The 17,145-nt window shown below is 37.6% G+C and overlaps 1 protein-coding gene across 3 annotated transcripts in view, besides 6 other annotated features; it reads left to right on the top strand.

The window, feature by feature from the left end:
- Positions 1-17,145, top strand: part of PTN (pleiotrophin) — a 116,393-nt gene that overhangs the window by 68,580 nt on the left and 30,668 nt on the right. Inside the window, exon 1 of one of the 3 annotated variants that reach the window (NM_001321386.2) lies at positions 6,299-6,830. The exons of the other annotated variants lie outside the window; for them this stretch is intronic. The gene's annotated coding sequence lies outside the window, so the exon portion shown is untranslated. Of the gene's footprint in view, positions 1-6,298; positions 6,831-17,145 lie in introns of those variants that run through there. 3 annotated transcript variants of the gene reach the window in all.
- Positions 5,029-6,929: a promoter, noted in NCBI's record as "1.9 kb HindIII/BamHI fragment". NCBI's record gives the evidence for it as "EXISTENCE:reporter gene assay evidence [ECO:0000049][PMID:8962128]".
- Positions 5,224-5,503: a mobile genetic element.
- Positions 6,308-6,802: a mobile genetic element.
- Positions 6,741-6,763: a protein binding site, noted in NCBI's record as "Sp1 site; +443/+465". NCBI's record gives its function as "positive regulation of promoter activity" and the evidence as "EXISTENCE:protein binding evidence [ECO:0000024][PMID:10962555]".
- Positions 6,741-6,784: a promoter, noted in NCBI's record as "+443/+486". NCBI's record gives its function as "bi-directional promoter" and the evidence as "EXISTENCE:reporter gene assay evidence [ECO:0000049][PMID:10962555]".
- Positions 6,803-6,929: a mobile genetic element.

Genomic DNA, 17,145 nt, shown 5'->3' with positions numbered 1-17,145 from the left:
TTTTTTGGGGGAGATATACACTTCTTCACCTCCCCTCTCTTCCTCAAAGAACCACAAGGGCTACCATTGATGGAGAACTGAATACATGTCTCACAGGATGCCAGGCATTTTATATGTTATCTCACTGTACTCTTCAAACAAATTATAAGTGTGCATATGAAAACTCTGTGTTTCCATTGATGAGGATACTGACAGTAAAAGAAATCGACTACTTTGCCTACATATAAGAAGTGATGAAGCCAGTGTGAAAAAATCTGACTTCAAAACCTTTTCTCTTTCCACCATATTAAAATAGGCCTCTTATGCCTTACGATTTTCTGTCATAAATTCTTCATGATTATAATCATACTTGTTAGGCTATGTGTTTGATCTTTGATGACAAGATGAAATCATTTCAGACTTTATAAAGTACAGAATAGTTAACTATAAAATTTCTATTTTTAAATATAATTTCACAAATATTTTTTGAGTACCTAATGTGAGCAAGGCATCTTTCATACTAATAATAGATTTCATATTTACATCACCATCTGTGAGGCATTTTTCCTATTCTATCTTTTAAAAAAATACTGTTCTGATGAGAACACATGGACACAGGGAGGGGAACATCACACACCAGGGCCTGTCGGGGGGTGGGGGCCTAGGGGAGGGACAACATTAGGAGAAATACCTAATGTAGGTGACGGGTTGATGGGTGCAGCAAAGCAGCATGGCACATGTGTACCTATGTAACAAAACCGCATGTTCTGCACATGTACCCCAGAACTTAAAGTATATATAAAAAAAAATACTGTTCTGTGTCACTATTGTATCTCCTAACTAGATAGACCTTGGTATTGGGTAGACCAGTGGCCTTTAAATGTATTTTCTTTTTTTGACAAATGGACTTTTACAAGGAAGTCAGTGAGTAGTGAAGGAGGAGCTGCTCTAGGCACAGCTGGGGTAAGGAGGGGGCACTATTGGGTGTGGCAGGGAGGTCAGGGCACCTTCTCAGGCCTCTCTTAATGCCTTGCTGCAACCCTTGGTGCTTCCTTGTGGAAACACCAGTGCTCTGTTGATAAAAATAATAAAATGAAAATAAGAAAATAAGAGGCTATTTGTGTGTGTGTGTGTGTGTGTGCGCTTCTGAAATTTTGAGGTGTTAGTGCTTATTCTGGACTCCTAATTATAGTACTTTTGTAATAAACAAATAAGCAAAAGTGAGCTGAAGTACCTAAAACACCCACAAAACTGATAAAAATAAAGACAAACCAGGACAATAACCACAGAACTATGCAAAGGATATCTTGATGAACTCTTGAATATGGCAGCTGACCCCTTGGTGGTAACTTAGGGTTTTAGTCATGTTCATGCAACTCACAGCCTTTTCCCCTCTCCGTGGTCTTTCCTTGTCTCTTCTCCAGACTACTTAATGACTCTGTCTCTATTCCTTTCCCCCTCACAGCTCCCAGGATTAACTCATTTCCACTGTCTTCTTTTGAGGTCCATCCACTGTTTCTTGTTACTGTGTGCTCTAGACTCTACACATTTGTCACTGAATATTTTATAAATGCCACCTCCATTCATTTGCTTACATGGTCCTTCTACTTGAGTTTTCATAAGTATCCAGTGGTTTCATAAGTATTTGGTAGTTCCTCCTGTGTTCATTCTCCTTCCTGCTGCCTTGTCCCTTCGACTTCAGCCATGTTGGTAAATTTCCTGCAGCTTCCCCAGCCATGCTGAACTGTGAGTGAGTTAAACCTTTTTCCTTTATAAATTACCCAGTCTCAGGCAGGTCTTTATAGCAGTGTGAAAACATGCTAATACAACATCCAACATGAATTCATGCTAAGGAAAAAGTAAAGCCCAGTAAGGGAACAGAGATGTGTAAGTGGGTGTTATTTTAGATACCATAGTCAGTCAGTTACTATATTGGCTACCAAGGCCATTTTTATTCTTTATTTTATTCATTTATTTAACAAACATATAAATGAAATCTGTGGGTCAACACTGTTCTAAACCTTACAAATGAATAACAGAGAGATAATGTTCTCTCCCTTAAAGGATGTATTGATTACTGAAGGAAGATGAATACAAGTGTTTGTGTCTACACACACACAGTATTATATATACACAAACACAATCACAATCACACATGCATGCACAGAAAATTACATTATTATCCAAAGGCTTTCGATAGAACTTCATCAGTAGACAGTATTCTAAATGTCAGTTATTCTAATAGGACCTCAAGCGTCCATGACTTGAGTTACTGGTAGTTTTTCTCAGATGAGAATTTACTTATTGGCTAGTGTATGTGAATCAATCAAACAGCTAGTAAGGAACTATAGTGGACTTTCAGTATCTACCTTTCAGGACAGCTTTGTTATTCTCTACTTCCTTTATGTATTACAATTATAATGTGGGACATTATTTTATTTCTAGTTTCGTTTTTTTAGAGAGAAATAGCTCCTTAAAAGAAAGTCAATTGCTAGCATTGGTAATCAAAGAAGAGAAATTGAAGAGATTTAAAGACATGATAGTTACTAAATATAATGGTCTAGATGGCTCATGTCATTTCCTTTTCAGTTTTATATGCCACATTTTATGGAATCAATAATATGCCACGTGCACATTCAGGGTTGTGAATGAGGAGGGTCCGTGGAATGGATGTGGCACAATGTGCTCCAGAGATAGCGATACTGTCATCTTGGCAAAGGCTTTGTTGAGGGCGAAAGCCTTGAGCTAAACCTTGGACAGTGATAAGGATTTGCCAGGAAAGGGGATTGGGAAAGAATTTCTAATCACACAGGATAGCATGAGCAAAAGATCAGTTGATTAAAATGTTTCTGGGTTTAAATAATTATAAGTACTTCTTTCTGGCTAAAGATAGATAGATCGGGTGCAGGAGTGGAAAAGACAGACTGAAAGGTGCCTCCAAGAAGGAAAGCTTTTAGACAGTCTAGACATCTTGGTCTCAGCAGATTGTGGTTTAGAAGGAAATAAGAAAGACAACAGGAAGATGAATTAGGAAGATAGTACAATAATCTGGTAAAAAGAAGAATTGGATTGCTATTTTTACCCAAGGAACAGTCAGTGTTTGGCATGCTGGTATAGGGAAATTATATCCACTGTGTCCATTTATTGACTTTGTATAATTAAAGATGAAGGGGCAAGAGGGCTGCAATTGAAGTTAGAAAAGCTTATTGAGAAAAGATATTATGGGTCTGCTGTGTGCCAGGAACTGTGTTGCTTAATTTTCATACGTAATCTCTAATCCCAAAACTTTGTGGGGAAGATATTATACCCACGTCGATTGCTAAGAAAAATAAGTTTCAGAGAAAGTAAATGTATTGCTTCACATTCCCTAGCCAGAGTTGTGATTCTCACTCAGCTCTGACTTGGTCTAAAACTCTTATTTGCTCCCCTATACCACGTTGCAGCAGATAGACTTGAAAAGGATTAGGAGGAAACTAAACAATTCTGTGATTCTCAAAGTCAGTCTCCAGCTCTTTTCAATTATAATAAATTAAAGCGATAAAGGAATAATACAAACAGCCGAGTCTTCTTTGAACTCATTTGGCTCCCCAGAATAATTGAACAAACATACCTTTACTATCACAGTTATATTATAAAGAGAAAACCCAGTGTATTTCCTTCGAATACTTGTTTTGGTTGATTTATTTGTTTCTTTCTTACGCCTGTGTGCTTCTGTGTAATTAGAGATGAATTTGAAGTAGAAGACAGTTTTCATGAAACCTACTCATCCTTGTAAAGATTAATAGGGAACAGAGGTGATAAGACTCCATGCTTTTAGTCACAACGGATTTTCTACTATATTACCAAGTCAGAACACATGGGAAAAGAACACTTTGTGATATCATGTTTAAATTTAAAAAGGGACATTATTTTTCTTGGGAAATGTAAACATTTCTTGATTTGTTTGTTTTTAATTCTGAAATTATATGACATTGGATATTAATACAGATTATGAATTGGTACGATTTCAGGTTTGATCAGATTGCCTGCTAGTGAGCCAATAAGAGTGAGAAATTGTTTGATGTTGGTCAAAGCTAGGAAGATTATGTGGATGCAGAGCCTGCAGTAGAATGGGGAGAACAATATCAATCAGGAGAAATGGATGGCTAACTACTGAATTCCAGAAGAATGTTAAAAGCTTGGAGGCCTTCTTGTCTTAGAAGAGAATAACGAGGAAGGAAAAGTGAGAATTTGGAGTCCATGATGCAAACTATTTTCAGTAGAGATACCATACCTCACTTGCTCTTTCTTAGCCATAGGATGAAGCCACCCATAACCCCCTACCTAAATAGTCCTCCTTGGGTCACTCTTTATGATATCATTTTTAATTTTCTTGTCACAAATTTTCCACAATCAGAAATTACCTTGTGTATGAATCTCTTTAGTCGTCTATTTTTTTCCATGTTATTTTCCAGCTTGCCCACTAAATATAAGCATTGTGTGGTCAGGAATCTTGTCTGTGTTGTTCAACTCCTTATTTTTATTGCCTAGAATAATGTATGCCACAAAGGCTGCAACTCTTACAAAGTTTTTGAATAATTTAGTAAATGGATACACTATTTGTAATGAACCAAATATCATTTAATATTACCATGAGTCAATATTTGTAAAGTGCTTAAAACAGATCATTGAATATGGTCAGTACTATAAATAAATTTGTTAACTAAATGAATACTGTACTTTCTTAAACTAAAATAAAATTATTTCTGGTGAATAAGAAAAGACAAGCATTTGACTGTATGACAAAAATAATCAGGACATTTATTAATAGCTAATACCTTATAAAAGAACTTCTAGCTATAAGTGGTTTTGTTCACTTTATAGGGAACTTCAGGGAAGTTAAATCTTTGGCCTTAACTGAATCCCTGTCTTAAAATTAATTGACAATCGAAAAAGGGAAATGCAAAATAATTGCCCTTCCCTTGTACTTCATGACATTCTGTACTTCCTATGAGAGGACAGTGAATTATAATTGGCTATTTATCTGTCACTGATGCTTTATCGGAGTGCAAGCTTCATGAGAACAAGCCAAAACATCTGTCTTATCACTTGTCACTGTCGTGTCTTGAGAATACCACCCAGTGGCTGGCATAGGGTAGGTGACTCCAAAACATTTAATGAAATAATGTGTTAATTTGGGGTGGAAAGAGGTGTCAAGATAGTTTTGGAAACTTCCTGAATCTTCACATAAAAATAGATGGAGCAGGCTGGGCGCGGTGGCTCACGCCTGTAATCCCAGCACTTTGGGAGGGAGAGGTGGGAGGCTCACGAGGTCAGGAGATTGAGACCACCCTGGCCAACATGGTGAAATCCCATCTCTACTAAGAGTACAAAAATTAGCCGGGCAGGGTAGCGCACATTTGTAATCCCAACTACTTGGGAGGCCAAGACAGGAGAATCGCTTGAACCCAGGAGGTGGAGGTTGCAGTGAGCAGAGGTCATGCCACTGGACTCCAGCCTGGTGACAGAGCAAGATTCCGTCTCAAAAAAAAAAAAAAAAAAAAAAAAAAATAGATGAAGCAGCTTGACAGATAGCAAGACCAAAACCCATGGTCAAGATTTAAAGCAAAAATCAGGATAAATTTTTCTCTCACAAACCTGAAAGCAAAAGTGAACGGGAGCAAACCACTAGTAACCACAAGACTTGCATGCTATTGGTATTTGAACAAAACAAGATAGAGAGAAGCAACATGAGACAGATCTGACAGGGGGAGAACCCAAAACAGCCCACACAAGTGCACTGTAGATCATGGTGAGCCAATGTGAGAATAAAAGCTGACCCTCCAGGACTCCCTTCTGGGGCAGGAACTCACTGTAAGGATAAACTGCGTGAACAAAATCAAAATTGATCAAGAGAGCAACAATAGAAACAAAAGAGAAAGAGAAAGACTAGATAAAAGTAAGAAGAGAACAGAACGTGAAAATCTCAGAAAGTTAGATACCATGTTTCCACCATTATATGAAAGAACAGAAGAACAGATTTTGTGAAATTAGAAAAGCTATGTGAACATAAATATGAACAAGAGAAATGTATTGAGGTCAAATCTCATACAAAGTAACTTAAAAGGAGAGAATGAACAGAAAAAGGGGAAGACCATTATTTATATGGCCAATTCAAGAATTTCTGAATATGCTCAAGAAACAGAACAACAAAAATCTTTGTAACCTACAGTTTCAAAACGAGTTACAAAACACTAAGAAAACAATATAAAATGTAAAAGAGCATCACAAATTATAATTAGAAAACTCAGCAATGAGGTGACAGAACTAGGAAAGAATTAAGGGGAAATAAGGGACAAGAGAGACCCTCTCATATTGTTTTATATTATTTCATACTCAGAAAAGGAAAGAGAAGCCAAACAAAAGGCAGGTAACCCAGCGCCTAGGAACCAGACCCGAAACCAAGGAACCAGATCTGAAACCAGGCCTGGGCCTGCCTGACCTAAGCCTGGTAGTAAAAATTCCACCCCTGACCTGACCTGGCAACTGTTGTTATCTACAGATTCCAGACATTGTATGGAAGGACACTGTGAAACCTCCCGTTCTGTTCTGTTTCACTCTGACCATCGGTGCTCACAGCCCCTATCACGTACCCCCTGGCTTGCTCAGTCGATCACGACCCTCTCACGTGGACCCCCTTAGAGTTGTTAGCCCTTAAAAGGGACAGAAGTTGAGCACCTGAGGAGCTCAGATTTTAAGACGCTAGGCTGCTGATGCTCCCAGCTGATTAAAGCCACTCCCTTCACTATCTCGGTGTCTCCTGTCCGCGGCTCGTCCTGCTACATTTCTTGGTTCCCTGACCGGCAAGCGAGGTGAGTAATGGACGGTCCAGGCAGCTTCTTAAGCGGCTTTAGCCTGCCCTGTGGAACATCCCTGCGGGGGACTCCAACCAGCCGGAGCGACGCGGATCCTGAGAGCGCTCCCGGGTAGGCATTTGCCCCGGTGGGATGCCTCGCCAGAGCCGTGTGTGGCAGGCCCCCGTGGAGGATCAACGCAGTGGCTGAACACCGGGAAGGAACTGGCACTTGGCACTTGGAGTCCGGACGTCTCAAACTCGGTAAGACTAGTCTTTGGAACTTGCCCACTCATTTGAGTGGAAGCGTGGCCTGATCACCCACTTTGTGCCTTTATGGGCTCTTTGGTTTTTGTTTTTGTTTTGACTTGGTTTGAATTGCTTGACAGGATTGATCTTGGGAACTTGCCTACTCCATTCAAGTGGAAGCATGGCCTGATCACCCATGGTATGCCTGTATCGGCACTTTGTTTTTTGTTTTTGACTTGACTTAGATTGCTTGATACTTTGGTTTTGGTTTTGACCTGGCTTGGATTTCCTGATACTCCGATTTTGGTTTTGATTCTGGTTTGGTGTAAACTGTAAAAGTGTGTGTGTGCCCTTTTTACCCGTTCTTTGTTTTGTAGTGTGCGTGTGGTGTGAGCGTGGTGTTTTGTCTCGAGGAGACACGGGTCAGGTACAAACTAAGCCCACCCCACTAGGAACTATGTTGAAAAATTTCAAGAAAGAATTTAAGGGAGATTACGGTGTTACTATGATACCAGGAAAACTTAGAACTTTGTGTGAAATAGACTGGCCAGCATTTGAGGTGGGTTGGCCATCAGAAGGAAGCCTAGACAGGTCCCTTGTTTCAGAGGTATGGCACAAGGTAACCTGTAAGCCAAGGCACGCAGACCAGTTTCCGTACATAGACAGTTACAGCTGGTTTTAGACCCCCTTCCCCCCAACAGTAGTTAAGAGAACAGCAGCATAAGCGGCTGGCAGAGGCAAGGAAAGACCAGCAGAGAGAAAGAGAGGAAAGAGAGAAAAAGAGGCAAAGAGAGAGGAAAAGACACAGAGGAAGAGACAGAGAGACAAAGAAGGAGTCAAGAAAAGAGAGAGAGACAGAGAAAGATAGAGGCAGAAAGAGAGGAAGAGACAAAGGCAAAAGGAAAGTCAGAGAGAGAGACAGAAAGTCAAAGAGAGAAAGAACAAGAGAGAGAAATATACAAGTAGTTAAGAAAAATACAATATACCTGATTCCTTTAAAAGCCAAGGCATATTTAAAACCTATAATTGATAATTAAAGGTATTCTCAGTAACCCTGTAACACTGTAATACCACTTTGTTGTCAGTGTAAACAAGGGCGTATCCGGAAAGCACTGAGGCCTTCCTATCAGAAACCCTTAACCCAGTAACCTGCGGATGGCCCAGATGTGTTCAATCTGTAGCGGCAGCTGCTTTGCTAACAGGAAAAAAAAAAAAAAAAAAAAAAGGCCATCTATACAAATTCTAAGTTAATTTAGACTAAACAGGCTCTTATTAATAGCAAAGAATAATTGAAATCCCAAACTTACAAGGTTTTCAACAAAAGTAAAATTTGCTAAAAGTTAACAGTGTAACATGTATTATAGTAACTTCTAATCTTGTGGCCTTCATCTAGTCCACAGACATAAAGAAAGTTCGCTTTAAAAAAAAAAAAACAGAATGGTTATCTTCAAAAAAAAAGGAAAAAAAAGGGGAGGCAGAATTTATGTAAAAAGAGTGTTATATGGTAAATTCTTGTCCTGAAATAAATTAACTGGTTGTTTTTTTAAAAAAAAATGTTTGTAATAAGTCAGAAAGTTGAGCATGTGGAAGAATTGTCTGCGAAAGTCGTGGAAGAAAAAAGTTATAAAAAAATTTATGCAAAAAATGTTGTATAATTTAAAAGTAATAAGGCCTCCTGAGTACTATTGAAGAAACAGTTTATGTGCAAGGTGTATAAGGAAAGTTAAATATACCTTTGGTAAAAGGACTATAAGGAGGCATAAGAATGTGGATTTTTACCTACATTAAAAAGTTAAAAAAAATCATTGTTTTGAAAGTTTAAGCAAGTTTTAAAACGTTAATTGTAAAGAAAATTCTGTGTGTAAACATATTAGCTAAACTTAAAAAAGTATCATCCAGTTTTTCTGTGAAATGGACATTAAAGTAAAAATGCAACAGGTTTTTCTTAAAGCACCAATCTCCTCTTTAACAAAAATTATAAAAGGTTAAAAAGAGTCTATAAAATCTTACTTATGATCAAACATTAAAAATTAGATAAATATGTCTACAAGGTTTTATTAAAATTAAGTTTAACATTAATAACACACTAATATAAAAGTAAAATTTAGCTTATCTAGTGTAAAAATCATACAAAAAGCATTGTTAAATGTAAAATGGTATTTGGCTTTCTTTGGTCTAAAAACTAATAAAAATAGGTGCTAAAGGAAACATTCATTTTACAAGAAGATCATAAAAGTTAAAAACTTAAAACAAACTTTGGCAATTAAGATAGCATACCAAGATGCAAATGCCTGGTTGGAATGGATCAAATATTCCATCTGCACGTTAAACAAAAGCAATTGTTATGCTTGTGCACATGGCAGGCCAGAGGCCCTGATTGTCTCCCTTCCACTAAGATGGTCCTCCAGTCGGCCAGGCGTGGGCTGCATGGTAGCTGTTTTCCAGGATTCTACAGCCTGGATTAATAAGTCATGCCAGGCTCTCTCTGCTATATCCCAAAGTCTGGTACCCTGCGGGTCAGCCCCTGAGGGCCATCCAGCCTCCGTCTCCCAACACTAAGTTCACTTCGTTGTCTCTCACGACAGGGAGGAAACTTAGCATTCCTTGGAGACCTGAAGGGATGCGATGAGCTTAAGAATTTTCAAGAGCTTATCAATCAGTCAGCCATTGTTCATCCGCAAGCAGATGTGTGGTGGTATTGTGGTGGACCTTTACTGGGCACTCTGCCGAATAACTGGAGTGGCACTTATACTTTAGTCCAATTGGCTATCCCTTTCACCCTGGCATTTCATCAACCAGAAGGAAAAAAAATAAGACATTGTAAAGTGAGAGAAGCCCCTTATAGGTCTTTCGACTCTCCTGTCCATTTAGACGCAGTTGGAGTCCCACGAGGAATACAGATCAATTTAAAGCTTGAAATCAAATAGCTACAGGATTTAATTCAATATTTTAGTAGGTGACAGTTAATAAAAATATAAATTAGATAAACTACATCTATTACAACCAACAGCAGCAAGCTTTTCATGAGTTAAAAGAAAAACTCAGGTCGGCCCCAGCCCTGGGGCCACCTGACCTGACAAAACTTTTTACACTCTATGTGTCAAAAAAAAAAAAAAAAAAATGGCAGTTGGAGTTTTAACCCAGACTGTAAGGTCCTGGCCAAGGCCAGTGGCCTATCTCTCAAAACACTAGAAGGGGTTTCCAAAGGCTGGCCCCCATGTCTAAGGTCCCTGGCAGCAATGACCCTGTTAGCACAAGAAGCAGATAAGCTAACTCTTAGGCAAAACCTAAAGTCCCCCCATGCTGTGGTAACTTTAATAAATACCAAAGGACATCATTAGCTAATGAATGCTAGACTGACTAGATACCAAAGCTTGCTCTGTGAAAATCCCTGCATAACCGTCGAAGTTTGCAACACCCTAAACCCAGCCACCTTACTCCTGGTATCAGAGAGCCCAGTTGAACATAACTGTGTAGAGTTATTGGACTCAGTTTATTCTAGTGGGTCCAACCTCCAAGACCATCCTTAAACATCAGTAGACTGGGAGCTGTACGTGGATGGGAGCAGCTTCGCCAACCCCTGCAAAGTGATTCTGAAGAAGACGACAAGCGCTGCTCCAGTCACACCCGGAAGCTGACTGGTCCACTCATGGCCGAAGCATGAGGAAACTCATCGCGGGACTCATTTTCCTTAAAATTTGGACTTGCACAGTAAGGACTTCAACTGACCTTCCTCAGACTGAGGACTGTTCCCAGTATATACATCAAGTCACTGAGGTAGGATAAAAGATTGCTACAGTCCTATTACTTTATGGTTATTATAAGTGTACCGGGACTCTAAAAGAAACTTGTTTGCATAATGCTATTCTATCCAAGGTATGTAGCGCAGTCTCTAAATGTTATGTTTGTGGAGGAACTGTAACAGGAGATCAATGGCCATAAGAAGCCTGAGAATTAGAGCCTACAGACCCAGTTCCTGATGAATTCCCAGCCCTAAAGAATCACCCTGATCATTTCTAGGTTCTAAAAGTTTCAAATATTGGACAATATTGCAAAGCTAGAAAAAGGAAAGAATTCACTCATTCTGTAGGATGACTTAGTTGCTTAGGACAAAAACTGTGTAATAGTACCACAAAAACAGTTACGTGGTGGAGTTCAAAACACACAGATAAAAATCCATTCAGTAGATTTCCAAAGTTGCAGACCATTTAAGCCCACCCAGAATCCCACCGGGACTGGACGGCCCCCACTAGGCTATACTGGGTATGTGGACATAGAACCTACGCTAAGCTGCCTGACCAGTGGTCAGGTAGTTGTATTATTGGCACTATTAAACCATCTTTCTTCCTACTACCCATAAAAAGAGGCAAACTCCTGGGCTTCCCTGTCTATGCTTCCTGCAAAAAGAAAAGCATAGCTATAAAAAAATTCAAAAATAATGAATAGCCCCCTAAGCAAATCATACAATATTATAGGCCTGGTACTTAGGCACAAGACAGCTCATGGGGATACCAGACCCCCATTTACATGCTCAACTGAATCATATGGTTGCAGGCTGTTCTAGAAATCATCACTAATAAAACCTGTCAAGCCTTGACTATTCTGGCCCGGCAAGAAACTCAGATAAGAAATGCTATCTATCAAAATAGATTGGCTCTCGACTACTTGCTAGCAGCTGAAAGAGAGGTCTATAAGAAATTTAACCTTACTAGTTACTGTCTACACATAGATAATCAAAGGCAAGTAGTTAAAGACATAGTTAAAAATATGACAAAACTGGCACATGTGCCTGTACAAGTGTAACATGGATTCGACCCTGAAGCCATGTTTAGAAGGTGGTTCCCAGCACTAAGAAAATTTAAAACTCTTATAATAAGAGTTATAATAGTAATAGGAACCTGCTTACTGCTCCCTTGTTTGCTACCTGTACTTCTTCAAATGATAAAAAGCTTCATCACTACCTTGATTCACCAAAATGCTTCAGCACAAGTGTACTATATGAATCACTATCAATCTATTGCACAAGAAGATGTAAGTAGCAAAAATAAGAGTGAGAACTCCAACTAATAAAAAGTGAGAGTCTCGAAGGGGGGAAATGAGGGACGAGAGAGACCCTCTCATGTTGTTTTATACTCAGAAAAGGAAAGAGAAGAGAAACAAAAGGCAGGTAGCCCAGCACCTAGGAACCAGACCTGAAACCAAGGAACCAGATCTGAAACCAGGCCTGGGCCTGCCTGACCTAAGCCTGGTAGTAAAAATTCCACCCCTGACCTAGCAACTGTTGTTATCTATAGATTCCAGACATTGTATGGAAGGACCTTGTGAAACCTCCCGTTCTATTCTGTTTCACTCTGTCCATCGGTGCTCACAGCCCCGTCACATACCCCCTGGCTTGCTCAATCAATCACGACCCTCTCATGTGGACCCCCTTAGGGTTGTTAGCCCTTAAAAGGGACAGAAGTTGAGCACCTGAGGAGCTCGGATTTTAAGACGCTAGGCTGCTGATGCTCCCAGCTGATTAAAGCCACTCCCTTCACTATCTCGGTGTCTGAGGGGTTTTGTCTGTGGCTCATCCTGCTACACAGTAACCTACTGTTTCAAAATGAGTTAGAAAACACTAAGAAAACAATATAAAATGTAAAAGAGCATCACAAATTATAATTAGAAAACTCAGCAATGAGGTGACAAAACTGGGAAAGAATTAGAATGATAAGAAATCTATTTTAGAAATGAAGACTAAACTAGAAGGGACACAAGATTGAATAAACACAAGTAATACCTTAAGATAAATTGAAGATAAAAAAGCAATTGCTTTTAAATAAAAAATATAAAAAGGATTTGAGATAAAATGACAAATATTGAAAATAAGCAAAGCAAAGATCTCATTACTGTCTGAAAATATTTAACCAAAATGAAAAACACCTAGTTATTTTTTAGGAAAATTGTTGTACTTTAAAGAAAAAAATCCCTTGGGCATCTCAGGTAAAATAATACTATATTTATAAGGGAAAGTAAAATAGATTCTGAATAGTCATAGAAACTCTTCCACAAGGCATGTCATAGAAACCAGAACTCTTTTTCCCCAAAACTAGCCATAGAACCTAAAGATATTATTCTAACTTCCCTACACCTTTCTGTGTAAAAACTGGCCATAAAGAAATTATCTGATGTACTTTGTTTGAGTATAAATCATAAGATCTCCATTCCAGAGAGGGCCCTGCCCCACATGCAGAGAAAGCAAAGGTACACAGAGAGAGACCAAGAAGACTCTAAACAGGCCGGCCTTGCTTGGTTTCCTCATTCAGCCTGTTGTTAGCACTAGATTATACCTTTTGCCTAATCATACTTCTACACAGCTGTCCATATTTTGTTGAGCCTAGGCATAAAAATAGATAGTTTTTCTCCTGAATCTTTGGGTCTTCGTTCTGAATGCTCCCATGTCACGTAAAAATGTGATCAAATAAATTTATATGCCATTTCTCCTATTTATTTACCTTTTCTCAGCGATTTTTAGGTAACCTTCACAGGGCAAAGGGGAAATTTTCCCTTGGCCCCTGTAAGTATGTAATGACTAAAATGTCTGATTACATAGATGTCAAGCAACTATAAAAATGAGAGCCAAAAGGAGATCATCTATGTAAAATCATTTTAACTGCTTTTAAAATTCATAATTGGTGGGTTTAATATTTATATTATTACCATGAGACTAATGTTTATGTAATGTAAGATAATCAAATCATTAATTTTATATTTAGTTCTATCATTTCCTTTGTCCTTTCCTCACTCTGCTCACAGAAAATGGGCTGGAAATAAAGACAAACTCATTGAAGCTGAGCATCCCTAGTGCCCAGATTTTGGTCTTAAAATATCATTTGTTATTATCAAAACGAACAAACAAAGATTCTTCAAAGATGGGACAATTAGAGCTTCAATAAAGATAAAAAGAATGTGATGGCTTAAAACCTATCAAATATGAATAAATGCATGAATTTATAATAACATTAAAAAAAGAAAAAGTGATTGGCTGTATTTTAATGATAGTAGAGAGCAAATTCATAATCTTGAAAACTAGATAAATAAAAGGAAAGAATCAAGCATTTATCCTATATATCTTTATGAACTTTAAACAGCTGAACAAAATATTAGATGAAGGAAAACATTTCTTTATGGAATTATGTTAAGTATTGTATGAAAATGAAAGACTAGAATGAGAATATCACCATTTTGCAACCCCCATCCATACTCATTAAGTACCAATGGCTGCTAACATCACAAAAGAGCAAAACCCAAATATTTTGTAGCTCCTGGTGAAAGAATGCAATGTTATTTACATTCTTACCAAAGGGATAGCACCTGAGTCTGATTAAGCCTCTGCATCCAACTGCCAATTTGCAGCTGAAGAGAATATTGAATTGCACCATGAATTTGCAATCATCAAAATCTGGAATATGGGATACTAATGATTAAATGGCCTGGGCTTTGTAAAAGTAAAAAGCAAGAAAAAGAAAGTGATGGAGGGTAATCCTGTATAGTAAAAGCAAATTGAAAGATGTATCAGTTTAAAAATAAAATAAAATAAATTAAAATTAGACAAGTCAAGGGAAGCACCCTTGAATAAAACCTTCAAATAATACAAATAAATAATTACTATATGAGTTACTTTTGGAGGGATGAGACTGTCATTGGGATGGGAAACATGTAAAGCCTTCTCACATGACTGGAAAAATCTTACAATAATTTGCTAAGCTCTTTAGTGGGTTTGTGTGGTTTTTCTATAACTTGTGTTTTGTTTTACAATAAAGAGGTCAGAAAATTACTATTTCACGAGAGTTTATGCAACTGAATCACACAATATCTAGAACAATCTGGCAATGTGAAACAAATAATGCAGAAGCATCACAAATCATTTACTCTCATATGAGGCTACTCTCAAAACTGATTGTTTCCAGCACTTCTTTGGTAAATTACACATCCCCAGGTATTGACAAAGGGCAGAGACAATCTTTTATTATGACTATTCATTCCTCTGTTTAATGCCATGTTTTGCTGATGTTTTCCACTAGCAAAAAGTGTAATGAGTAGTAGCTATTTTAAAATCTTAGGTACTTTAAATAAAAAGTGGGAGACATAATAGTTTTATCACATGAAGGGTATAATATGTAGTTGCAAAGTGAGATGTTTTTTCTTATTTCATACAAGTTAAATTACATTTACATATTTCCTAATTATCAACATTGCAACATTGGACCTCTTGACTTCAGCGAACTCAAAAGAAATACTGGGGATGAAGGTCCTTGAGTTCTTATTAAGCTTCGAAGAAGTAAAGGCAGATTTAATTTGTGTCCTGATAAGGCTGAACACAACTTTAGTTGGTCTCAATTAAATCATGTCTCTCTCTCTCTGTCCCTTTTTGTTTGTTTTGTTTTGCTTTTGGATAATACTAGATAAAACAAAGTATAATGCTTATTTTTTTAATAAAAAAAGCACTTCTTTGTAGTAAGTAATAAGAGTAAAGGGGTACACTAATTTTATTCAGCAACTAATACTGTATTAATATTCTGGTTATTTCTATATCTGTATCTTGTAATCTTCATGACAAGTCTCTCAAGTAATTGTTACAATCACCCCCATTTTGCAGATGTCAAAACAGTTCAATCTGTTGTGATTTGGTAATTTGTTCAAGGACACTCAAAAAGTAGGTGGTATAGCTGAAGTTTGAGCCAAAGGTTTTGCCTCCAGATCCTGTATTAATCCCCCAAATAGGTCGCTAAAGTACAGTTTCCAGCATCCTTTCCCTGTATTTACTTTAGATATTACCATCTTGAAAATTCTAGATCTCCTTAAAATACTAAGGAAAAGGGGAGCTCTCTTTTCCTAATTAGCTATTTATCCAGAAAAGAGATTGAGATTTAATAGATAAACACATTCTCCTAAAGTTGGTTTCTTTAATGTCTTTTAATCATTGAGTTTCAGATTTCATTGAGATAACTTAACAATTATTTCCAGACACCAGCACCCAAATATGGTAGTCTTCAACTTAATTGTTAATATGCAATTAAGTCTATTAGGGCAAGTACAAGAATGATTGCAGTAGGAAAAGGGGGTGAGAAACAAGTAAATTATTCAAAAGAATGGAGTCAATTTAGTAAGGCTTTATTCTCGCACTATTTTATTTTCCCCAGATTAAAAAAAATATGCCACGATCCTGATCACTTCCTTAGAATCCATATTTTTGCCTCTGCTCTCATTTGGCACTCAGTCTGTTGGAGAACAGGTAGGGTTAAACTTCATACAGGAAGAGCTTTTGCCCTCACTTGGTGCTAAGGACAAATAAACAATCAACTATGCAAATATCACAAGCAAGGGCAACTGTTATCTACCCCTATGTATACTAGTTACTCAAGTATTTACTACAACAGCAAGGCACCAGCAGGCTAGTTGGGTATTGTTTTGGGCATACTTGAATTTTTGGATAAATTTAATCATTGCATTTTTAAAACTCTTTACTCTCTTCTTTTAAATAACCTTTATTCATTTTCTCTACCCAGAAACATCTAAGCTCTCAAAATATAGGCTTAAGTAGAATGATGAACAAAATAGAAGGAAGGGGAGAAGAGGCTGAGAAGAACAGTGTTCTTCAATTCAAAGCTGTTGTTGAACACGTATTGTACACAGGTGACCCACTGTACACATGGACTTGTGTGCATTTATTTCATAGAAGATTTAAGTGCTGAAATCCACCATTTACTCAATTCTTAATGTTCTTAATTATTCTAAATTAACATTAGAGGCAGATAGAGTGTATTTCCATTCTACTTTCTCTCCAACTCCCATCTAGTACTTACCTTTCCTTCTTTCCAGTCAGCTCATATTTCAGTTATAATGACTTGTTTAGTAGACTATTCTATACTAAAAATTTTATTTGATTTGGAAATTATGGCCTGTGTGTTTTTTTCCTTGAAATCAGTGAATAGAACTGGATTAAGGAAATCTTTTTGAAAATAACGATGAAAACAAGAGTTTAACAATATAAAACTAGAAATGCTGAGGTTAAAACTTGCCAGTGATAGCACCTTGCCATGAAT

This window comes from Homo sapiens, chromosome 7 (genome assembly GCF_000001405.40).
Source record: "Homo sapiens chromosome 7, GRCh38.p14 Primary Assembly".
Lineage (NCBI taxonomy): Eukaryota > Metazoa > Chordata > Mammalia > Primates > Hominidae > Homo > Homo sapiens.
Note: the sequence above shows the minus strand (reverse complement) of the source record. Positions and strands in the feature narration are given on the sequence as shown.